General features: G+C 45.2%; 1 protein-coding gene across 10 annotated transcripts in view, besides 2 other annotated features; it reads left to right on the top strand.

Annotated features, from left to right (window-relative positions):
- The window catches only part of TCF20 (transcription factor 20), a 183,525-nt gene that overhangs the window by 116,402 nt on the left and 41,778 nt on the right, over nt 1-25,345 (top strand). For all 10 annotated transcript variants that reach the window (XM_047441476.1, XM_047441474.1, NM_005650.4 and 7 more), the window contains one exon: nt 11,795-17,485. In XM_047441476.1, the coding sequence (XP_047297432.1) occupies nt 11,831-17,485 (5,655 nt within the window). In that variant the 5' untranslated portion in view covers nt 11,795-11,830. The remainder of the gene's footprint in view (nt 1-11,794; nt 17,486-25,345) is intronic.
- Nucleotides 8,795-9,383: an enhancer, noted in NCBI's record as "OCT4-NANOG hESC enhancer chr22:42613759-42614347 (GRCh37/hg19 assembly coordinates)". NCBI's record gives its function as "activates a minimal SCP1, AML or CMV promoter by ChIP-STARR-seq in primed H9 embryonic stem cells {active_cell/tissue: H9 hESC(primed)}" and the evidence as "EXISTENCE:reporter gene assay evidence [ECO:0000049][PMID:30033119]".
- Nucleotides 11,654-12,153: an enhancer, noted in NCBI's record as "H3K4me1 hESC enhancer chr22:42610989-42611488 (GRCh37/hg19 assembly coordinates)". NCBI's record gives its function as "activates a minimal SCP1, AML or CMV promoter by ChIP-STARR-seq in primed H9 embryonic stem cells {active_cell/tissue: H9 hESC(primed)}" and the evidence as "EXISTENCE:reporter gene assay evidence [ECO:0000049][PMID:30033119]".

The following is a 25,345-nucleotide window of genomic DNA, read 5'->3' as shown; positions in this document are numbered from 1 at the left end:
AATTTTTGTATTTTTAGTAGAGACGGGGTTTCACTGTAATGGCCAGGCTGGTCTTGAACTCCTGGCCTCGTGTGTTCTGCCTGCCTTGGCCTCTCAAAGTGCTGGGATTACAGGCGTGAGCCACCACGCCCAGTCTTAAAAATTATTTTTTAATATCCTATTGAGATTTTGACTGGAACCTATTAGAATTTTATAAACTAATATGTGGAGACTTAACGTCTTTACAATACTAGCCCTTTTTATCTAGCTATACCATTTGTTCTGCTAGTTTGTTTCTTTCCTTTTGTTTTGAGCTTTTTTGGGTTGTTCAGTGAAGTCTCTAATTTTCATATAGCTTTTGCCCACTTCTGCTTTGGATTGGTCATTGATATCTTTTGAATTTTAATTCAGAATTGTATTTGTTTGTTTTATTATTATTTCTTTTTAAGAGACAGAATCTCACTCTGTCACCCACGCTGGATGGAGTTCAGTGGCGTGATCTTGGCTCACTGCAACCTCCACCTCCTGTGTTCAAGCGATTCTCCTGCCACAGCCTCCTGAGTAGCTGGGATTATAGGTTTCCGCCACCGTATGTGGCCAGTTTTTGTATTTTTAGTAGAGACAGCATTTCACCATGTTGGCCAGGCTGGTCTTGAACTTCTGACCTCAGGTGTGATCTGCCTGCCTCAGCCTTCCGAAGTGCTGGGATTACAGGCTTGAGCCACCAGGCCCGGCCTCAAAATTATATTTGAATGAATTATAAAATGGAACATCCTTTTAGCCTATAAGTGGCAACACTAATTACCTCCCTTTTGCCTCTGAAGGTTTAGAAATTATGTATTAATACAACCTTTGAATGAAAAAATATATTCAATGACATCTCAGAAGCCCCTACGCTCAGCATTTAAGAAAATCCCACAGGAGCCTCTAGCTAGCCCCAGAGATGTCCTGCTCCCACCCTTCTCCTGCCCCCTTTTTGGGAACTGTTTGGCCATCCTGCTCACATATGTGGTCATCTGAAGTGATCTTGGGATGCCCCTGTGAAAATAAGACAGATAGCCATGGAGTGGGGGTGGGGCCAGGATAGGGCCCAGGTGCCTTTGGTCTGCTCAGGAGCAGATTTATAGCATCTCCTTGCAGAGTTACAGAAGCATGTGGTGGATATAGGATGCTTGCAGCCTCTTGGCTGTTTGAAATTATGCCTAATAATAGGCCTGCCGACTGTGGGTTGGAATTCAGCTGACTTTAGGCCTGATTCTCAAAAAATAATTTTGAGCTAGTGACCCTGTGTGCACACTTGCCTGGGCACTGTGGTGTCCAACAACCCTGTGTGTGGCATTGGCACCAGGTTTCCTGAAGTAGAGGTCCTGTCTGGCAGGCTCCTCCCTTCCCTCCTGCTTCTGACTTGTGGGGTCCCCTGTGCCTCTATTTCTTTCCCTTGGGCAGAGCAGCACTTTGCTGTCAGTAGGAACAGATAAAGCTCTGATACTGTTGAGATAGTTCAAGGGTTGTAATTTTTTTTTTTTTTTTTTTTTTGAGACGGAGTCTCGCTCTGTCGCCCAGGCCGGACTGCGGACTGCAGTGGCGCAATCTCGGCTCACTGCAAGCTCCGCCTCCCGGGTTCACGCCATTCTCCTGCCTCAGCCTCCCGAGTAGCTGGGACTACAGGCGCCCGCCACCGCGCCCGGCTAATTTTTTGTATTTTTAGTAGAGACGGGGTTTCACCTTGTTAGCCAGGATGGTCTCGATCTCCTGACCTCATGATCCACCCGCCTCGGCCTCCCAAAGTGCTGGGATTACAGGTGTGAGCCACCGCGCCCGGCCTAAGGGTTGTAATTTTTAAATGAGGTTAATGACATTTTGGCTGAGCACTGTGGCTCACCCTGTAATCGCAGCACTTTGGGAAGCCAAGACAGGTGGATCACTTGAGGTCAGGAGTTCAAGACCAGCCTGGCCAACATGGCGAAATGCTGTCTCTACTAAAAATACAAAAATTAGCCGGACGTGGTGGCAGGCACCTGTAATCTCAGCTACTTGGGAGGCTGAGGCAGGAGAATTGCTTGAACCTGGGAGGCAGAGGCTACAGTGAGCCAAGATTGCACCACTGCACTCCAGCAGTGCAGTGTAAGACTCTGTCTCAAAAAAAAAAAAAAAAAGTGATTATTTCCTACACAAAAATTAATGTAAATAGAAATGAAAAGGGGAAAAAATACTTCCACAACACTGCCATCTTGGATAGTCCAGAAGTTTTCCTTTTTTCTCCATTATTCCCTTTGGCCTGGGACTAAATGAATGCCTCATTTTCAGATAGTTATAATCATAGCACAGGTATAAGTTTACGTGAGCTGCTCTTTTCATCTGATACTATGTAATTTTCTATGGTGCTAGAGTCTTTGCAATTGTTTAAAATGATTATGTACTATTTCTTTGAGTGGATATACCATAATTTGTTTAATCAATTTTCAAATAGGTTGTTGCCAGTTTTTTCTTCTAATACATATTACTGGAGTGAATATGTTGGTATTTTGTTTTTTTGTTTGGTTGACTGTTTTATTACCAGTTTTCTTTTCCAAGAGTCATAATCATTTATGGTGCTTTTTTTTTTTTTTTTTTTTTTTTTTTGTACCAGCTTTAGCCTAACCTAACCAGATGGGATATCATCTTTTAAATTTTTTAGGAAATTTTTTTTTTGAGACAGAGTCTCGCTTGTTGCCCAGGCTGGAGTGCAGTGGTGCGATCTCACTGCAATCTCTGCCTCCCAGGTTCACGCCATTCTCCTGCCTCAGCCTCCTGAGTAGCTGGGACTACAGGTGCCTACCACCACGCCCGACTAATTTTTTTGTATTTTTAGTAGAGACGGGGTTTCACTGTGTTAGCCAGGATGGTCTCAATCTCCTGACCTCGTTATCCGCCCACCTCGGCCTCCCAAAGTGCTGGTATTACAGGCGTGAGCCACTGCGCCTGGCCAGGAAATGTAATAGTTACAAATTTATCCCCCTAGTTTTTGCCTGCATGTATTTGGTCATGATTCAAGGTGGATATTTTTTATGGCTTACATGGCTAATATGAGTTTTGACACCCAGAAAGCAATCTTTTTAGATATGCAGCATTCTTGTGGGTTTCTTTCCTTCTAGACAAGGAACTGACTTGCGAATTCTGAGTTGCTTTCAGACTCTTCTGATCTCCCAAGTCAGGGAGGAAGCCAGCACCTTCATTACACTTCATTTTATTCTGAAGTCCTATTACACTAAGATAACTTTTAGCCACTGAGAAAAATATAGGCTCTGCCCATGTGCAAACAGGACATAGAGTATGAAATATTAAGTCACTGAGCAGATCTTTATGCTTGATACACTTAGGAAGATCCCACATTTGCACATACACAAAACAAACGATACAGGTGTTACAGATATATCTAGGTACAAGCAGTCAACTAAATTCTAGCAAGATTCCTCAAGATTCCTTTCTAAAATGCTTCCCAATGTCACAGATTGGGAAATACAGACTGGGTTTTGCAGTGGGCATATTATATATCTTATCTCATTGTTTACCATGAATATTTTGCTTGTTTAACTTCTGAGTCTCCATTTACAAAAAGGATTACTAACATTTCTTAGATCATGGTAAGGATGAAATGCATTAACATTTGTGTAAAGCACCTGATAGTGTGTCACATGTGTGAGGCATGGCAATAATTGATAGCTACAGTTATTAGAGATCTGACCCAAGTGTGTGTCAGGATTTTCAAAAATATGCATTTGGATCTTCCTTGCCTAATTTTGTGGTACAGTGAAAGAAAGGGTTATGGGCTCTAGAATCAGAAGAATTGGAGTTACAGAATGTCAGCTCCAACTTGTCCTAGAGGAGTGACTTTTGGAAAATTTGGACTTTTGGAAAAAATTACATTAATTTTTCCCCCTCATTCATTAATTGAGTTACAGGTAAAACCACACAGTGACTAACATATATAGATTGCTAAATAAATGGCAATTATTTATTTATTTACTGGGACAGGTCTTACTGTAGCACCCAGGCTGGAGTGTAGTAGCGTGCAGCCTCGGCTCACTGCAACCTCTGCCTCCCAGGCTCAAGTGATCCTCCTGCCTCAGCCTCTGGAGTGGCTGGGACTACAGGCACAAGCCAGCACACCCAGCTAATTCTTTTGTATTTTTTGTGGAGACGGGGTCTTGTTATGTTGCCCATGCTGGTCTCCTGAGCTCAAACAGTCTGCCTGCCTCGGCCTCCCAAAGTGCTGGGATTACAGGTGTGAGCCACTGTGGCCGGCCAGCAATTTTTATTATATCAGTGGTACATACCTTAGATACTGGTTAAAGGTAAATACTTTAATTGGTTTGTTTTTACTAAGCAAGGTAAAGCCAACACATTCTCTGCTTAGAGGAAGATTTGTAGAGAAAATCACATGGATAACACATTTTAGGAGCTCTTAAGATACAGCAGGACACATTCTAAGAGCTCTTAAGAACCATATGATCTCATGTGGCAAGAAGGAATTTATGGGCCTGGGGATGCTTAAAAGGCTCCAAGTTGAGACCAAGGTGAGAGTGGGCCGATGGCACAAAGGGGGCTGAGCAGGCTTGTTTGAGAGGGTGGGGAGAAGCAGAAATTGTGTTGGGAAGATGTCACAGGGCTTCAGGGCCTATGGGGGGGTGTGATGGTGTCAAAATGGCAGTTAAGCAAAAGAAAGTACTGGGAAAGAGAACTTTTCAGGTGTTATTCTAGCCCAAGAAAGATGAAAATGACAGTGACGAGAATGGAATGGGAAAGGACAAATACAGGAAGGAGAGTAGTGTCATGATGAGGTAGCATGGTAAATACAGAGTCAAAGTGAAAGGTCAGTTTGGGGTTATTCTAAAGCTTCTTGCTTGGGATGATCATGGTTTTCTTTGAGAATAGGCAGTTGGGTCAGTTGAGGAAGAACAACCTTATCTTTGTCATTGAAAATGAGTTAGTTACTGCCTAATAATAAATGCATTTGTTGTCTTTTAGAAATGATTACAGTCACAAGTGACACTGTCCAGAGTCCTTAAGTACTGATCTGTCTAGAGGGCCAGAGGCCTTGCTCTGTCTCTGCATGGTCATTAAAACCTTTGCCATATGGGGCCGGGCGCGGTGGCTCATGCCTGTAATCCCAGCACTTTGGGAGGCTGAGGCGGGCGGATCATGAGGTCAGGAGATCGAGACCATCCTGGCTAACACGGTGAAACCCTGTCTCTACTAAAAATACAAAAAATCAGCCAGGCACGGTGGTGGGCGCCTGTAGTCCCAGCTACTTGGGAGGCTGAGGCAGGAGAATGACGTGAACCCGGGAGGCGGAGCTTGCAGTGAGCCGAGATATCGCCACTGCACTCCAGCCTGGGCAACAGAACGAGACTCCGTCTCAAAAAAAAAAAAAAAAACCCTTTGCCATATGGTTAATAAGCCCTATAGACCCCACATCCTTGGCATTCAGAGCCCAGCACCTGCCTGCAACTCTCTTCATAGTATCTCATCCAATTTTGGACTTTGGGCATTTCTTACTTTCTTGCAACTTGGCTATACATTTTGTCTGACATTTCTAAGTGTTTTGTTGAGGGAGGATTTTTAGTCCCTGTTCTATGTCATAGTGCATGAAATAGAAGTCTCTCATTCCCCAAGTGGCAATAGTCTACTCTGAAATCCTAGGAATGAGAAGAACTCTTATCAGTCAGGGTCCCAGTAGAAAACAGATGGCACATTCAAACTGGGTAATTTAAGGAGTGTTTAATTGTATCATTCAGGGTTCATTCAGGAAAAGAGAAGTTGTCTATTCCGGTATGAATGGTTTTGATACAGGAATTAAGGCTTTACCCAACCCTGGAAGAACTGGAATTGGGAAGGTTCCTGATGATTTCATACTGAAGTGTCATAGTGAATGGTTCTCGTGAGCTCATGGGGAAGCCGCTATGAATCCACGTGTGCTGCATCTACCTCCAGGGAATATCATCAACCTCTACGTTTATTTTGCCTTCTAAATCTCTCTTGCACTTCTCATTGCAAACTCTAACCCAGAACCATGCTGCTAAAGGGTTCTGGAACGGAAGTTCTCAGCTTCTGATCTGCAGAGGAGAGCTTGGAAGGAGGGTGGTCACGATGCTGAGTTGACAACAATGCAGAAGATTAATAAAGGGACTGGAAAGGGTGAGCAGGGTTTGGGGAAGCCAACAGGAAAGTGAAGTCTTCTGTGCTAGCAGTAGCAGGGAGTTGTTACCTACTGCCTTCTAGACCTGAAGGGCAGAGGATGAAGTGGTTCCTGGAGTTTGGAGAAAGTGGCTATATGTTGAGGTTGCCCGATGGAGCTGCAGCCATTGGTGGAGGGTCTCAGCCAGCCTCAGTAACCTCGGGGTGGGAGCCAGGAGAGTAAGTTCCTCTCACTTTCCTCCTCTCCTGCCTCTTACCAGCCAAACTGGGTCAGAAGGCAAGGGTGGTGGGGCCTGTCAGTTGTCCTTCCATTGTCCGTTCTAGGGCATAGAGTAGGGTGGAGATGGGTGAGGAGAGGCTGTGGGGGCAAACAGGGAATATCCCTTACACAGGCTATAACTAGATGCATCATTGTCAATGTCTTGAGGATTTAAAGGCAAAGAAGGAGAATAAGCAGAAAATCATGACAGAGGATGAAAAAATTAGCTGGGGCCAGGCACAATGGCTGAATTCTAGCACTTTGGGAGGTTGAAACAGCAGGATGGCTTGAGCCCAGGAGTTTGAGACCAGCCTGGACAGCACAGTGAGACTCTGTCTCTATTTTTAAGAAATTATAAAAATTAGCCATAGTCCCAATTATTTTTTAAAAATTAGCCAGGGGTCCCATGCCTGTGGTCCCAGCTACTTGGGAGGCTGAGGCAGGAGGATTGCCTGAGCTGGGAGTTGAGGCCGCAGTGAGCCTGTGGTCATGCCACTGCACTCCAGCCTGGGCAACAGAGTGAGACTCTCTTTCCAAAAAAGAGAATGGATTGGGAAGTGGGATGTTGTTGGACATATGGAGGAAGAAGGACAGAGAAAGCCAATGTTGGTTTTCTATAAGAGGGCAAGGTCATCAGCCCTCTAATAGGATGGGGAGAACAAGTCTGCAGCTGGTTATGAGTGAGTTTGTGAGGTCGGCACATGGACTCTGGAATGTTTAGGCACAGAGTTCTGGACCTCACTAATACACCTCCACAGCCCTTCTGAAACTGTTCAGAAAGTTAGGAATATAGGAGAAAAACAGGAAAGGGAGAGTCATTATGGATGGGAAGTACATCGGTAGGCCTCTTTTTTATTTATTTATTGAGACGGAATCTCGCTTTGTTGCCCAGGCTGGAGGGCAGTGGCGCGATCTCTGCTCACTGCAACCTCTGCCTCCGAGGCTCAGGCGATCCTCCTGCCTCAGCCCCCCGAGGTGCTGGGACTACAGGCACGCATCACCATGCCTGGCTAATTTTTGTATTTTTTATAAAGATAGGGTTTCGCCATGTTGCCCAGGCTGGTCTCGAACTCCTGAGCCCAAGTGATCTGCCCGCCTTGACCTCCCAAAGTTCAGGGATTACAGGGGTGAGCCACTGTGCCCAGCCTCTTTTTTAGAGTGTGTATGCAAGTTCCTTAGGTGACTTATTCCTTTGAGGTATCAGATTTTCCTTACTATTTGTATTCATTTAAACAAAGGAATTCAGGCACTTATTATTACTAATCACAGTGCTTTAAAACTGACTACACTGATGCTTTTTTTAAGATGATGGGATAAAATTGGAATTATCTCTATTAGCTTTTTTTTTTTTTTTTTTTTTTTTTTGAGACAGGGTTACTGTCACCCAGGGTGGAGCACATTGGCACATTCATAGCTCGTTGCAGCCTCGAACTCCTGAGTTCAAGCAATCGTCCTACCTCAGCCTCTTGAGCAGCTGGGACTGTAGGCACACCTCATGACACTGTGCATTTAAAATTTTTTTTAACCCAGGCTGGTCTTGAACTCCTGACCTCAAGCGATCCTCACACCTCAGCCTCCCAAAACACTGGGATTACAGGTGTGAGCCACCACACCCAGCCTATTACTTATTTTATAGCTCCAGGTTTACATTTTCTGTCGTTGGTATATGCTAGTTGGTTTTCTTAATTGGTTTACTTGGCATTCCTAAAAAAGATAAACCTGGGCAACCACCTTCTCCTACTCAGGTGCTTCATGTATACTAAGAATATTTAGCATGACTGGAACCCTGCAGGAGGTATTTGGCCTTGGATTTTTTTTTTTTCTTTTTCATAAAGTAGAACCATAACAATAGGGAAAGGGGTATCATACAGGACAGGGAATCTGCAGGGGAAGGCTGAGAACAGACCTAAGAAGGAGTCCTTCCTGTATCTGTTTTCCCTGTCTGGAGATAGGGCAGCCTCAGGCCTGATACCCTGATGTTTAAAGTGGCCTTTAGCTCTTGGTGGCTCCTATTTAGGAAGAATATGGAGCAAGTGGCAACATTGTTTATACACTCAGATCTTCAGAAGCCTGATTTTATTTCCAGAAGGATTAATTAAACAACATGTAACATAGCTTTTTATAGAGAATATCTCTTGAGAAGGCTTTTCATTAGTTTAAACTGCTAGCTTTAATGTTTTTGTTCAATTTAGCCCCCATTCAGCCTTGTTTTATCTAGAGAAGGCCACTGGCACTGAGGAGTAGAGCAGGAGCACATCACAAGGGGAAAAAATTAATACTCATGTAGACAGAATTGCTCTTGATAGTTCTAAGAATGATGGGGAGCGGGTGAAGAGCCAGCTGGAACAGTATGGAGGTCCTTATAAGAGGGTGGCAGTGAAGGGACAGATTTATTGTGGGTGGCTACCCACTTTCAAGGCCAAACTGACAGGACAACTGGTATTTTTTACTGACCATGTGGAAGACCCTCTGGGCAATGTAATGTTAAAAACATGTCCTGCCCCCAGCCCTGCTGCCTAGGAGCTTTGTGAACTCTGCTTCTGTTTCCTCATCTGTAAAAGGAGCGTGCTAGTGTTGTGAGGATTAAATGAGTTAGTGTATGTGAAGTGCTGGAACAGTGTCAAGCAGCATCATCACCATTTGAATAGCTATTACCTACTGCCCTGCAGATTCACTGGAACAAAGCAACAGAGGCATTTTGAATAGGATGAGAAGTTTCCTTTAGATTCTGACATTATTTGCACATGAATGTTTAGCGATTGTTTTGGGTCACATGACTATATAATCAAGCTTAAGGAAGTAGACCCTTGTCTAGCTGTTTTAGACTTACGATATTTCAAGATATGGGTCAAGCTTTTAGAATTTGGGGTTACTGGCCATCTTCTGCTCTAATCAATATTTACTTTCTGAAGTCTTTCCTCAGTTCTCATGTGGACTCAAGCTGGGTCTTTCCCTTAGAACCGGACTCATGGGATTTTACAGGCAAGGTCTTCAGCATCCTCCAGCTCTGCTTTTAGGTTGATCATATTCTATTTTCACTTTCTATAATTCTCTCATGTCACTCCCACAGCACCATCTCTGAATATGTGAGTTCTAGCCTAGTTCTCTAAGGCCTAGTTCTTACACCATTTAATCATTCACACAGACTCCGGTGTGATGACGTGAGGATTACAGCAAGGAACAGTCAGTTTCTGCCCTTTAAGGAGTTTACATTTTAGTCAGAGGAGAGACAGACAGTAAACAAGTAGCATATATGTGTCTGTTTGGAGTAAGTATGGGGCCAGGCAGGGGATAAAACAGGGGAGGGAGTTACAGCCAGGGAAAAGGTGTGGAGCTGGCTGTTTTTACTAGAATGACCAGGGAATGAGTGACACTTGCCCAAAGACTGGAAGGAGAGCAAGCTATCTGGCTCTGGGAGAAGAACGTGCAGGTGAGAACAGAGTTCCTATGTAGATATGTGGTAGGCCTGTTCCAGGAACAAGGCAACTGTGGGGCTAGAGCAGAGAGTGATAGGGGAGGAGCTCAGAGAGGTCAAGGGGGTGGGAGCAGGGGCCTTTGAGACCAGTTTCCCAAAGAATGAGGTGGGAGCCACTCCAGGGATTGGAGAGGATAAATCTGACTTACCTTTAAAAAGGTTGTTGACTTTCCTGCAGGCAACTCCATTTTCAGCTCCCCTTCAGGGGAACTAGGAAACTAGCTTCATAAACCATTGTAACTAAACTAAACTGTCTATTACACCTCACTTTACCCTATATGTATTTTGGAACTTGTTTTTTTAAGTAATTGGTTCTAAAGTCACTTGGAGCAATTTGGCCTTGTCCCTTTCATCTCTGACTCTGAGGAGACAGGCCCAGGTGAAAGGGGAAAAAATCAGCTTGATTGATTAAGAGGGATTATAATAGGTAATACAAAGTGGTGGCTCAGTCAGATAACTTTGAAAGAGTCTGGGTCCTAGGCTTGATGAATTCCTATTTTCCTCTCTGTTTTTTGCTGTCCTCCAAGATGATTGCTTCTAATTCTTTCATAGTAATGGCCAGTAATAACTGTGAATTTAAAAAACTGGCAAATACAAATACCACATGGCGGGTAAAGGTGCTGGAACTTCTTGGAAACCTCCCAAAATAATCTGGAAGAATAGTCACTGCTATTCACTGGCTTAAGTCTAGCCCTTTGTACCTGGGAATTGAAGGAGAGTGGTGGAGAGAGGGGTGCTGTAGACACAGTCATATGCCAAGAAGAGGTTGACTCCAAAGTTTGTGTGGAACCCATATGGGCTGAGTGTCCTGGAGTCACCAGTCATCACAGGTAGTTGGCAATTATAGTAAAGCTGCAAAAATTTGCACTTGGACATAAGGAATTGGCTGCAGTTCTCTGGCCAGGTCTGTTTCTCAGTGTTGGGGAGTGGCGATCAGCAGCCAGTGTTAAAACCCGCAGTTCAGTGATCACCCTAATACATGAAAGCAGAGAAATGAAAGTAGTGGCTTATGCCTGTAGTCCCAAAACTTTGAGAGGCCGAGGCAGGAGGATCATTTGAAGCCAGGTGTTTGATGCTGCAGTGAACTACGACTGTGCCCCTGCACACTCCAGCCTGGGCAAGAGTGAGACCTTGTCTCAAAAAAAAAAAAAAAAAAAAAAAAAAAAGGATTTGGTTTTTCTTACCCCACACCCCCTCCCCCGCATAACTGGGAGGCTTATTGAAAAATTGCTGTTTTTCATTGACAGTAATAACACAGCCCCATATTTTAATCTGGTTGAGTTTGGGGGCTCATTTGTCTAATAAGGCATTATTAGATATATGAGACATACATGTTTTTGCTGTATTGGGTTTGTATGCACTCAGAGTGCTGCTTTTCATTCTACTACAGATTCTTGCCTCACTCTTTAGGCCATTTCTCTGCATATGTGCATTTTCAGAAGTGGATAGGATAAAATATAAAAGATGAAATTCAAGGTCAGGCGTGGTGGCTCATGCCTGTAATTCCAGCACTTTGGGAGGCCGAGGTGGGCGGATCACGAGGTCAGGAGTTCGAGACCAGCCTGGCCAGCACAGTGAAACCCTGTCTCTACTAAAAATACAAAAAATTAGCCGAGCCTGGTGGCCATGCGCCTGTAGTCCCAGCTACTCGGGAGGCTGAGGCAAGAGAATTGCTTGAACCCTGCAGGCAGAAGTTGCATTGAGCTGAGATCGTGCAATTGCACTCCAGCCTGGGTGACAGAGTGAGACTCTTGTCTCAAAAAACCAAAAAAAAAAAATAGAAATTCAAACCAGTCAGCTTCATCTGGGCCTCTGATTCATCTTTATTCCCTCCATCATCTAGACTTGATTTTATTTGTACCAAGGAGATGCGTGTCTAATGTTTTTCTTTCTTCTATTTCTAGGAGGGCTGTTGGCCTGCTGCTGTGCTGCTGAACAGTATGCAGTCCTTTCGGGAGCAAAGCAGTTACCACGGAAACCAGCAAAGCTACCCACAGGAGGTACACGGCTCATCCCGGCTAGAAGAGTTCAGCCCTCGTCAGGCCCAGATGTTCCAGAATTTTGGAGGTACAGGTGGCAGTAGTGGCAGCAGTGGCAGTGGCAGTGGTGGTGGACGACGAGGAGCAGCAGCTGCTGCGGCAGCGATGGCTAGCGAGACCTCTGGCCATCAAGGTTACCAGGGTTTCAGGAAAGAGGCTGGAGATTTTTACTACATGGCAGGCAACAAAGACCCCGTGACTACAGGAACCCCACAGCCTCCTCAGCGAAGGCCTTCTGGGCCTGTGCAGAGCTATGGACCCCCCCAGGGGAGCAGCTTTGGCAATCAGTATGGGAGTGAGGGTCATGTGGGCCAGTTTCAAGCACAGCACTCTGGCCTTGGCGGTGTGTCACATTATCAGCAGGATTACACTGGGCCTTTCTCTCCAGGGAGTGCTCAGTACCAACAGCAGGCTTCCAGCCAGCAGCAGCAGCAGCAAGTCCAGCAGTTGAGACAACAGCTTTACCAGTCCCATCAGCCCCTGCCACAGGCCACTGGCCAACCAGCATCCAGCTCATCCCATCTACAGCCAATGCAGCGGCCCTCAACTCTGCCATCCTCTGCTGCTGGTTACCAGTTAAGAGTGGGTCAGTTTGGCCAACACTATCAGTCTTCTGCTTCCTCCTCCTCCTCCTCCTCCTTCCCTTCACCACAGCGTTTTAGCCAGTCTGGACAGAGCTATGATGGCAGTTACAATGTGAATGCTGGATCTCAGTATGAAGGACACAATGTGGGTTCTAATGCACAGGCTTATGGAACACAATCCAATTACAGCTATCAGCCTCAATCTATGAAGAATTTTGAACAGGCAAAGATTCCACAAGGGACCCAACAGGGGCAGCAGCAGCAGCAACCGCAGCAACAACAACACCCTTCTCAGCATGTGATGCAGTATACTAACGCTGCCACCAAGCTGCCCCTGCAAAGCCAAGTGGGGCAGTACAACCAGCCTGAGGTTCCTGTGAGGTCCCCCATGCAGTTTCACCAGAACTTCAGCCCCATTTCTAACCCTTCTCCAGCTGCCTCTGTGGTTCAGTCTCCAAGCTGTAGTTCTACCCCATCTCCTCTCATGCAGACTGGGGAGAATCTCCAGTGTGGGCAAGGCAGTGTGCCTATGGGTTCCAGAAACAGAATTTTACAGTTAATGCCTCAACTCAGTCCAACCCCATCAATGATGCCCAGTCCTAATTCTCATGCTGCAGGCTTCAAAGGGTTTGGACTAGAAGGGGTACCAGAAAAGCGACTGACAGATCCTGGGTTGAGTAGTTTGAGTGCTCTGAGTACTCAAGTGGCCAATCTTCCTAACACTGTCCAGCACATGTTACTTTCTGATGCCCTGACTCCTCAGAAGAAGACCTCCAAGAGGCCCTCATCTTCCAAGAAAGCAGATAGCTGCACAAATTCTGAAGGCTCCTCACAACCTGAAGAACAGCTGAAGTCCCCTATGGCAGAGTCATTAGATGGAGGCTGCTCCAGCAGTTCAGAGGATCAAGGCGAGAGAGTGCGGCAACTAAGTGGCCAGAGCACCAGCTCTGACACCACCTACAAGGGTGGAGCCTCTGAGAAAGCTGGCTCCTCACCGGCACAAGGTGCTCAGAATGAACCCCCCAGACTCAATGCTAGTCCTGCCGCAAGAGAAGAGGCCACCTCACCAGGCGCTAAGGACATGCCATTGTCATCCGACGGGAACCCAAAGGTTAATGAGAAGACTGTTGGGGTGATTGTCTCCCGGGAAGCCATGACAGGTCGGGTAGAAAAGCCTGGTGGACAAGATAAAGGCTCCCAAGAGGATGATCCTGCAGCCACTCAAAGGCCACCTAGCAATGGTGGGGCAAAGGAAACCAGTCATGCATCACTTCCCCAGCCAGAGCCTCCAGGAGGAGGAGGGAGCAAAGGAAACAAGAATGGCGATAACAACTCCAACCATAATGGAGAAGGAAATGGCCAGAGTGGCCACTCTGCAGCGGGCCCTGGTTTTACGAGCAGAACTGAGCCTAGCAAATCTCCTGGAAGTCTGCGCTATAGTTACAAAGATAGTTTCGGGTCAGCCGTGCCACGAAATGTCAGTGGCTTTCCTCAGTATCCTACAGGGCAAGAAAAGGGAGATTTCACTGGCCATGGGGAACGAAAGGGTAGAAATGAAAAATTCCCAAGCCTCCTGCAGGAAGTGCTTCAGGGTTACCACCACCACCCTGACAGGAGATATTCTAGGAGTACTCAAGAGCATCAGGGGATGGCTGGTAGCCTAGAAGGAACCACAAGGCCCAATGTCTTGGTTAGTCAAACCAATGAATTAGCTAGCAGGGGCCTTCTGAACAAAAGCATTGGGTCTCTATTAGAAAATCCCCACTGGGGCCCCTGGGAAAGGAAATCAAGCAGCACAGCTCCTGAAATGAAACAGATCAATTTGACTGACTATCCAATTCCCAGAAAGTTTGAAATAGAGCCTCAGTCATCAGCACATGAGCCTGGGGGTTCCCTCTCTGAAAGAAGATCAGTGATCTGTGATATTTCTCCACTAAGACAGATTGTCAGGGACCCAGGGGCTCACTCACTGGGACACATGAGTGCCGACACCAGAATTGGGAGGAATGACCGTCTCAATCCAACTTTAAGTCAGTCGGTCATTCTTCCTGGTGGTTTGGTGTCCATGGAAACCAAGCTGAAATCCCAGAGCGGGCAGATAAAAGAGGAAGACTTTGAACAGTCTAAATCTCAAGCTAGTTTCAACAACAAGAAATCTGGAGACCACTGCCATCCTCCTAGCATCAAGCATGAGTCTTACCGCGGCAATGCCAGCCCTGGAGCAGCAACCCATGATTCCCTTTCAGACTATGGCCCGCAAGACAGCAGACCCACGCCAATGCGGCGGGTCCCTGGCAGAGTTGGTGGTCGGGAGGGCATGAGGGGTCGGTCCCCTTCTCAATATCATGACTTTGCAGAAAAATTGAAAATGTCTCCTGGGCGGAGCAGAGGCCCAGGGGGAGACCCTCATCACATGAATCCACACATGACCTTTTCAGAGAGGGCTAACCGGAGTTCTTTACACACTCCCTTTTCTCCCAACTCAGAAACCCTGGCCTCTGCTTATCATGCAAATACTCGGGCTCATGCTTATGGGGACCCTAACGCAGGTTTGAATTCTCAGCTGCATTATAAGAGACAGATGTACCAACAGCAACCAGAGGAGTATAAAGACTGGAGCAGCGGTTCTGCTCAGGGAGTAATTGCTGCAGCACAGCACAGGCAGGAGGGGCCACGGAAGAGTCCAAGGCAGCAGCAGTTTCTTGACAGAGTACGGAGCCCTCTGAAAAATGACAAAGATGGTATGATGTATGGCCCACCAGTGGGGACTTACCATGACCCCAGTGCCCAGGAGGCTGGGCGCTGCCTAATGTCTAGTGATGGTCTGCCTAACAAGGGCATGGAATTAAAGCATGGCTCCCAGAAGTTACAAGAATCCTGTTGGGATCTTTCTCGGCAAACTTCTCCAGCCAAAAGCAGCGGTCCTCCAGGAATGTCCAGTCAAAAAAGGTATGGGCCGCCCCATGAGACTGATGGACATGGACTAGCTGAGGCTACACAGTCATCCAAACCTGGTAGTGTTATGCTGAGACTTCCAGGCCAGGAGGATCATTCTTCTCAAAACCCCTTAATCATGAGGAGGCGTGTTCGTTCTTTTATCTCTCCCATTCCCAGTAAGAGACAGTCACAAGATGTAAAGAACAGTAGCACTGAAGATAAAGGTCGCCTCCTTCACTCATCAAAAGAAGGCGCTGATAAAGCATTCAATTCCTATGCCCATCTTTCTCACAGTCAGGATATCAAGTCTATCCCTAAGAGAGATTCCTCCAAGGACCTTCCAAGTCCAGATAGTAGAAACTGCCCTGCTGTTACCCTCACAAGCCCTGCTAAGACCAAAATACTGCCCCCACGGAAAGGACGGGGATTGAAATTGGAAGCTATAGTTCAGAAGATTACATCCCCAAATATTAGGAGGAGCGCATCTTCGAACAGTGCGGAGGCTGGGGGAGACACGGTTACGCTTGATGATATACTGTCTTTGAAGAGTGGTCCTCCTGAAGGTGGGAGTGTTGCTGTTCAGGATGCTGACATAGAGAAGAGAAAAGGTGAGGTGGCTTCGGACCTAGTCAGTCCAGCAAACCAGGAGTTGCACGTAGAGAAACCTCTTCCAAGGTCTTCAGAAGAGTGGCGTGGCAGCGTGGATGACAAAGTGAAGACAGAGACACATGCAGAAACAGTTACTGCCGGAAAGGAACCCCCTGGTGCCATGACATCCACAACCTCACAGAAGCCTGGTAGTAACCAAGGGAGACCAGATGGTTCCCTGGGTGGAACAGCACCTTTAATCTTTCCAGACTCAAAGAATGTACCTCCAGTGGGCATATTGGCCCCTGAGGCAAACCCCAAGGCTGAAGAGAAGGAGAACGATACAGTGACGATTTCACCGAAGCAAGAGGGTTTCCCTCCAAAGGGATATTTCCCATCAGGAAAGAAGAAGGGGAGACCCATTGGTAGTGTGAATAAGCAAAAGAAACAGCAGCAGCCACCGCCTCCACCCCCTCAGCCCCCACAGATACCAGAAGGTTCTGCAGATGGAGAGCCAAAGCCAAAAAAACAGAGGCAAAGGAGGGAGAGAAGGAAGCCTGGGGCCCAGCCGAGGAAGCGAAAAACCAAACAAGCAGTTCCCATTGTGGAACCCCAAGAACCTGAGATCAAACTAAAATATGCCACCCAGCCACTGGATAAAACTGATGCCAAGAACAAGTCTTTTTACCCTTACATCCATGTAGTAAATAAGTGTGAACTTGGAGCCGTTTGTACAATCATCAATGCTGAGGAAGAAGAACAGACCAAATTAGTGAGGGGCAGGAAGGGTCAGAGGTCACTGACCCCTCCACCTAGCAGCACTGAAAGCAAGGCGCTCCCGGCCTCGTCCTTTATGCTGCAGGGACCTGTTGTGACAGAGTCTTCGGTTATGGGGCACCTGGTTTGCTGTCTGTGTGGCAAGTGGGCCAGTTACCGGAACATGGGTGACCTCTTTGGACCTTTTTATCCCCAAGATTATGCAGCCACTCTCCCGAAGAATCCACCTCCTAAGAGGGCCACAGAAATGCAGAGCAAAGTTAAGGTACGGCACAAAAGTGCTTCTAATGGCTCCAAGACGGACACTGAGGAGGAGGAAGAGCAGCAGCAGCAGCAGAAGGAGCAGAGAAGCCTGGCCGCACACCCCAGGTTTAAGCGGCGCCACCGCTCGGAAGACTGTGGTGGAGGCCCTCGGTCCCTGTCCAGGGGGCTCCCTTGTAAAAAAGCAGCCACTGAGGGCAGCAGTGAAAAGACTGTTTTGGACTCGAAGCCCTCCGTGCCCACCACTTCAGAAGGTGGCCCTGAGCTGGAGTTACAAATCCCTGAACTACCTCTTGACAGCAATGAATTTTGGGTCCATGAGGGTTGTATTCTCTGGGCCAATGGAATCTACCTGGTTTGTGGCAGGCTCTATGGCCTGCAGGAAGCGCTGGAAATAGCCAGAGAGATGGTGAGTATGAGAAATCTCTTACCAGCTTGGGATTTTTATTTCATTTGGTTCCTTTTCTTGCATGTTTTTGTTCTTACATGTCACATGATTATTCCTCCAAATTAAAGTGCCTATGCCCATGTGATGGACAGAAAATGAAATAGGTAATTTGGAAGATTTGTATAGACTTCTAAAATCGTTTTTCATTTTTTGAAATGTATAATGCTTATGAAGCATATTATTATATTTCAAGTTTCTTGGGCCACATCTTTTCTAACGCACACTTTCCAGTTAGGATATTTATTCTTTGGATCTGTTTCATAACTTATCCTGGGGCAGATCATCAACATCATCATCTTCATTTCTTTCTCTCCTCTATTGAATGTTCTGTTTCCTGAATCCCATTTCTTCCTCATTCTTAAAGTGAGCCTTCATTTAAGGGCGTGCATCATCCTTTAGTAGTTTTGTGAGAAAGGGTGTGTGGGAGTGTAAAAATGTTGAGATCCTATATATCTGAGCATGACTTTATCCTAGCCTCATGCTTAATTGAGAGTTGGCTAGGTGTGGAATTCTAGATTGGAAGTGATTTTTCTCTCACTGTCTTGCAGTCGTTCTTCCTGGTTTGTCCACTAGCTTCCAGTGCTGCAGTTGAGAAGACTGCCATTCTAATTTTTCATCCCTTGATGCATGTTCTGTTTTTCTTCTGGAAAGTTTGAGGATCTTCTCCTTTTCCCTAGGGTCTTGAGATGTCAAAATGATAGGTCTTGACTAGGTCATTTCATGGTTGTGTTGGCTACTCTATGAGATCTTATGTACGCTGATGTCTTTCAGTTCAGGCAATTTGTCATGTGGTAGTTCTTTGAAAATTTCCTTCCCTCTATTTTCTCTGCTCTCTTTATAATTCCTGTTAATATAAGGCATTTTACCTCCTGGATTGATCCGCTGTTTTTATCTTTTCTCCTCTGTTTTATGTTTTATCTCATTATCTTTTTGTTCTGATTTCTCTATGCTTTCTTCAGCTTTATCATCTAATCTTTTTTGTATGTGGGTTTTGTTTTGGTTTTGTTTTGTTTTGTTTTGTTTTGTTGTCACTCAGGCTGGAATGCAGTGGTGCGATCACAGCTTACTGCATTCTCGAACTCTGGGGCTCCCTGGTACCTGGGACTAAAGGTGTGTGCCACCATGCCCAGCTAATATTTATATTTTTTGCAGAAACAAGGTCTCACTGTGTTGCCCAGAGTGGTCTCAAACTGCTGGACTCAAGCAATCCTTCCACTTCGGTCTTCTAAAGTACCAGGATTATAGGCATGTGCCACAAGCCACAGTGCCCAGCCTTCTAGCCTTTTATTTACTTATTTTTTTTCTTGATATTTTGAAGAGCTTTTTTTTTCTCTGAATGTACTGACTTTTAAAGAATAATCAGAGCCTAGTTGATGGCTATAATCGTTTCTCTTGCTTTTTGAATACATTATAACGTATTTTTTGTTTTTGTTTTTGTTTCAGTTTCATGCCCTTACCCAGGCTGGAGTGCAGTGATGTGATGATGGCTCACTGCAGCCTCCAACCACTGGGCTCAAGGGATCCTCCCAAGTAGCTGGACCACAGGTGCATGCCAGTACACCTGGCTAAGTTTTTTACTTTTTGTAGAGACAGCATCTCACTTTGTTGCCCAGGCAGGCTGGTCTCACCACCTGAGCTTAAGCAATCCTCCCACGTCAGCCTTCCAAAGTGCTGGAATTACAGGCGTGAGCCACTACACTTGGCCTGTACTATAATTTTTAAAAATCTTTGTCTGTTTCCTATTTTCTCTTTCTTGTTAGAGGTTCTTCAGATGTCTTGATTTTTTTTTCTTTATTGAGATGGGGTTTCGCTCTTGTTGCCCAGGCTGGAGTGCAATGGCGCAATCTCAGCTCACCGCAACCTCCGCTTCCCAGGTTCAAGCGATTCTCTTGCCTCAGCCTCCTGAGTAGCTGGGATTAGAGGCATGCGCCACCATGCACAGCTAATTTTGTATTTTTAGAAGACATGAGGTTTCTCCACGTTGGTCAGTCTGGTCTCGAGCTCCTGACCTCAGGTGATCCGCCCACCTCGGCCTCCCAAAGTGCTGGGATTACAGGCTTGAGCCACTGCACCCAGCCTTGATTTATATTTTTAAGAGAGAAAGAGATGTTTTAAAAAATGACTTGAAGCTCTCTGTTACAGTATGGGCCAGGCTTGCTAGCCTGTAGTCCTCTCCGTAGAATAATAAGGCAGCCAGCCAGCATATGGGTCTTTTTTCTGAGTTGAGTTTTCCCAGAGGAAAAAAAAACATTTTTTTTTTTGTTCCAGAGAAAAATCTTGAGATTTCCTGTCTAGAGATGCAAGCTTGGCTGCCAGCGTCCTAAAAGCCAAGTGGAGAAGAGGATGGTAGGGTTGTGTGGGTGGGGATATGGGCTCATGATTCAGTGCGCGGACTTTGACAATCTCCCGCCTGTTTTCAGTGGATGAGAACAGTTACCTGGTTGAACTGGGTTAAGGATCTAACTCCTCTTAGAAACTTTGGGCTAATGCTCTATTTTTCAGCCCCATGTTGCACCCCCACTTACTGAGGCCTCCCCAAGCTCTGTGCCCTAAAGTGGCTGGCTTTCTGGGGGCTCCTCCACTGCACTCATCATTACTGTCTGCTTCCTTGCAGTGCACAGAATCACTGTCACTCACTTCATCTCTCATGTTTCCAGCTTCCCATTGCTCATGGTGTCATGAGTTTATCTTGCAAGTTTATCCACTTTTTCGTGGGAAGGGATCAGATGGATGTACAACTGTATGTTTAGTAGTCTACCATATTATTTATAACCTTCTGGCAAAAAGAAGTGCCCATAGACTATAGTAAAAATTATATTGAATGTGAAATATATATTTGAAATTAGAACATTTTAATTCAGTCATGCAAGGAGCTTGCCCTTTACTCTTATCATGTCCCCTATCTCCCAATTACGGTCTTTTCTTTGTGCCTCCTTCCCTGTCTCCATTATTAACATCACGGTGAAACTCCAAGTTTGAGGTAGAAGATTCACTTCCCCTAAGAAGTTTATACACAATGACATTTTAAAATGCAAAGATCCTAGGAGGATGTAACATTTAAGACCCTCAAGTACAAAATTCTTTAGTCAAATTTGAGCGCTCAAAATAATCCGTTAATCATCCTCTTGTCAAAGTTGAGTTCTTGCTTCCCAACTTTCCTTGGAAAGTCACAGTATTTGGTGGGTTTTTTGTTGTTTGTTTTTTGAGACAGAATCTCACTTTGTTGTGGGGTTTCACCATGTTGGCCAGGCTGGTCTGGAACTCCTGACCTCAGATCATCCATCTGCCTTGACCTCCTAGAGTGTTGGGATTACAGGTGTGGGTCACTGCGCCCAGCCTGTTTATTGCTTTTTGATGTGCATATGTGTATGTGACCATCTGACAGTGTTTTCGTTATTTCAACATTTATTATTAACATATCTCAGCCCAGTTTTTTTGTGTAAACTTTTAGGTGTTCTATAGCAATAATTGATAATCAGTAATCAGGCTAAATCTTCCCCAGCAAATCTCTAGATCCTGTGTCTCAATTCAGGTCTTGGGCCGAGCATGATGGCTCACGCCTGTAGTCCCAGCACTTTGGGAGGCCGAGGTGGGCAGATCGCCTGAGGTCAGGAGTTCAAGACCAGCCTGGCCAACATGGTCAAACCCCGTGTCTACTAAAAATATGCAAAAATTAGCTGGACATGGTGACAGGCACCTGTAATCCCAGCTACTCGGGAGGCTGAGGCAGGAGAATGGCTTGAGCCTAGGAGACGGAGGTTGCAGTGAGCCAAGATGGTGCCACTGCACTCTAGCCTGGGCGACTGAGTGGGATTCAATCTCTAAAAAAAATAAGAAAAAAGTTAGGCTTGTTGTCTCTTTGAGCTGATGTACCACTATCACTATAAGATCCGTTTCTAGCTTTTATTTACCTAGCTTTTATTCTACTTTTCTCAGTGCACTCAAGGACAAATTAAAATTACACTAACTTGCCTTTTATTTAATTTGACAGATGATGTTTCAATTGTCCAGGATACTTTGAGTCTAGTTTTATCTTACTAGGTTTTAGCAGATAGATGCATTCAGTTTTGGTCTTGCTTAATGAGCATGCCCTTAATCCTATCATGTAAGATAAAGTCACATATATTTCATTAGAGATCCATTTTGGCCTATGTATTTATCAGGTGTTTTGACAAGCACGATGTTATATTAAAATATTGGGAAGTCCTCAAGAGACATTGCTCCTCTCCCTGTGTCACACTACTCTGAAAATTGCCGAAAACTAGAACATTTCTATATTTAAAAATGGTGTTTACTTCCCTTCCTTTTTCCCTTCCTTTTTCCCTTCCCACAAGTGTGGGACTTGTGAATCTATTCATTTCAGCACAAGTCCCCTTTGCTTCTGTCCAACATTGACCACTGTTTGCCTTGGTATAATTGTGTATGAGAATCACAATGACCTCTGACATGAATGATATTACAGAGGTAATTGCCTCTGAATGGGTATGGATATAACTTGGTATGTACAAATCACCTTTGAGACATTAAGGAATGCCAAGGCGTGCAGGGATGTGACAGAAGGTAGATCTGGTGGCCATGGATCCCTTGAGGCTGGATAGCCCTACTAGTGGGGGAGTCGGGGAGTCTTTGCTTGTTCCCCTCTCATAGAAGGTGCCCCTCCCAAATTTTTCCAACCCCCCTTGGGAAACTTTTAATCTTTTTTTTTTACCTGACAGTATATGTTAACTGGTTTTAGGTTAATTTTTATTTTCTATTTTTATTTTTATTTTGAGATGAGTCTTGCTCTGTTGCCAGGCTGGAGTGCAGTGGCACAATCTTGGCTCACTGCAACCACCTCCTCGTGGGTTCAAGTGACTCTCCTGCCTCAGCCTCCCAAGTAACTGGGACTGCAGTCATGCACCACCACACCTGGCTAATTTTTGTATTTTTAATAGAGACAGGGTTTCACCATGTTGGCCAGGCTGATCTCAAACTCCTGATCTCAAGTGATCCACCTGCCTCAGCCACCCAAAGTGCTGGGATTACAGGCCTGAGCCACTGTGCCTGGCCAATTTTCTTTAAATTTCTGAATCAATATATTAAAGATTATATTTAGGGTTTTTTTTCCTTGATTTTTTGAGACAGGGTCTCACTCTGTTGTCCAGGCTGGAGTGCAGTGGCATGATCTCGGCTCACGGCAACCTCCGCCTCCTGTATTCAAGTGATTCTCCTGTCTCAGCCTCCCCAGTAGCTGGAATTACAGGTGCGTGCCACCACACCCAGCTAATTTTTGTATTTTTAGTAGAGACGGGATTTGAGGATGTTGGCCAAGCTGGCCTTGAACTCCTGACCTTAAGGAATCCACCCTCCTCGGCCTCCCAAAGTACTGGGATTATAGGTGTGAGCCACTGCACCTGGCCAGTTTAGGGGCTTATTTTTAATACAAGTTTAAATAATGGATAATTATTTACTTCCCCCATCTAACAGACTCACATCTTTCTTAAATTTACTTTAAATTGTGATGGAAAACATGATTTGGAAAATATAAAATAGATTGATTACATTATGAAAATGAAATCACATATTAAAACATCAAAACAGCCAAGTCAGAAAGGTAGGCTCTCTAGTTTAACTGTAAAATAGAGCCACCAGTCTACATGCTCTCTAAATTCTCAACTATATGTTCCTTGAAGGTGGTCATTTCCAGGGCCTGGCAAGGCCCCCATCCTGGTGAAGGCTCCCTTCAACTCCTGTTCTCTGCTCCTAACTCCAGTACCTCACCCCCACCCCTACCTGATTGTTCTTCCTCTGTGCTTGCTACAACTGCCCTTTCTCACATTCCCACACTCCCTTTCTCCATTCTCCTCTCCCTCCCAGCCCCCTCTCTCTGGCAAGCACTTGCTTTTTGTTACTTCTGCTGGGACCCATCTTCATTTCTCACTCTCTAGGCGGTGGCGCCCTGTTCCCATGGCTTTCAGTATATAGCAGAGACTTGTATCTAATTTACCTGTTTTTCTTAACACTGTGTGGTATATCTTTTTATATCACTGCATGATGACATTGACACTAAATTTCCAGAGAAAAGGTTCATTTTCTTTCAGGATTTCGTCCAAATTCTAAGGAATCAAGTGAAATTTTCAGTTTTGAATTTTATTGCATATATTACCTTACAGAATAAATCATGACAAATTGAAGGACTCAAATTTTACTACGATTTATTTCTTGACTTTTTTTTTCTCTCTAGAGGTAGGGGGATGATGTGGGGAGCATTACACTTGATTTTAAAGTAAAATTTATAAGGAGTACACGATTCTTTGGCCAAGGCTGGGCAAGGTGGCTTATGCTTGTAATCCTAGCACTTTGGATTACCTGAGCCCAGGAGTTTGAGACCAGCCTGGGCAACATGGAGAAACCCTGTCTCTACCAAAAATACGAAAATTAGCCAGTCTTAATGACCTAGTCTCAAAATAAATAAGTAGAGAAAAATATTCAAAAAAATCCCAAAGGACCATAAACAAAAATATTGATAAACAAGCCACAACACACAAGTTATTATATGTTAATTACTCATCCCTGGGATGTTAAACTAGTTATTGCTAATCTGTTAAAAGAGCTAACAGCAAATAGTATGTAAAAGCAGGCATCCCTTTCAATTCAACAAATATCTTGAGTCTCTACTGGAAAACCAGTTGAAATGTGAAGTTAAACTCCTGTCAGGGAACTTGCAGGGTGACTCAGCCTCAGCCTCGGCCCCTTAGCTGGTGTGTGGTTAGAGAAGCTCTATGTCAAGGCTTCTGAACTTCATGCAGGAAAGTTTGTGTGATTCTGCAGAAAGCAATGCCTTGCCGCACACAGGTCCTGCACTAGGGCTTCGATTTTTCCAAAAGATACGGCTTGCTTCATCCAATACTGTTTCAGGAAAATGGAGGTTCCTCCTCCGCACCCCAAGCCAAGGCCAATTTCGCGGGACCCTCAAGGCTTGCTACTGCAGATCAGATTCGTCCAATTTATTGGAAAAACGTATGAGAAGAGAAAATCAAGGCAGCTAAACACTTGCCCCGGAAGGTCCTGGCTTTTGCCGTTCTCCTCAACAGCTGTGTAGAGGGGAGGCCTGGGTGAGAGCCCCAGAGTCACACTGCTTCATATGAATTCCAGGACTTGTTGTTTCCTTGCGAGGTCACTAGCTCAAGTCACTTAACCTCTGTGCTTCACTGTCCTTACCATACAAAGTATGAAAACTGACAGCACCTACAGTAAAGAGGTATGTTAGGAGGATTAAATGTGTTGCTCTTTGGAAAGTGCTTAGAGCAGTGTTTGGCACATTTCAACAGTTAGGTGGTTTCAGAGGAAATGCAAGCTGCAGACTGGTGACCGCCCTCAGATGGTGTCCTCCCTCATTGTTGTCTTAGTAAAGATGTGTTCCTGTTAGCAAGCTCACTCAGTACTCTATAGCTTATGTTGTAGTTCCATCATAGTGCAGCTAGCTCATCTTGCCAGGGGTGTTCAGAACTTAATCTCTTTGAAAGTTGTCCTTGGTGGAAATAAAAACATTATCTCCTTTTTACTCTTGTTGGAAACTCAAGTTTGCTGCGGGGGGAAGGGTGGCAGGGTGTGAGGTATTTCAGGTGCAGTATTAATATTATGTCTTATGAAATAGCATCAGCCAACACGAACACACTCAGGAATTATATCTCTCAAAAGACAGAAGGCAAAAGGGAGGGACTAAAATCTACCTTGCATGTTAAGTAAAAGCATTAACATTCTAGTGAGATGACAAAGTTTTGATAGCGATTATCTAAAGCGAAAGAAAAGAATCTGCCTGGTAGTAAAGTTGGGTTTTTT

Source organism: Homo sapiens, chromosome 22, assembly GCF_000001405.40.
Source record: "Homo sapiens chromosome 22, GRCh38.p14 Primary Assembly".
In the NCBI taxonomy this organism is placed as follows: Eukaryota; Metazoa; Chordata; class Mammalia; order Primates; family Hominidae; genus Homo; species Homo sapiens.
Note: the sequence above shows the minus strand (reverse complement) of the source record. Positions and strands in the feature narration are given on the sequence as shown.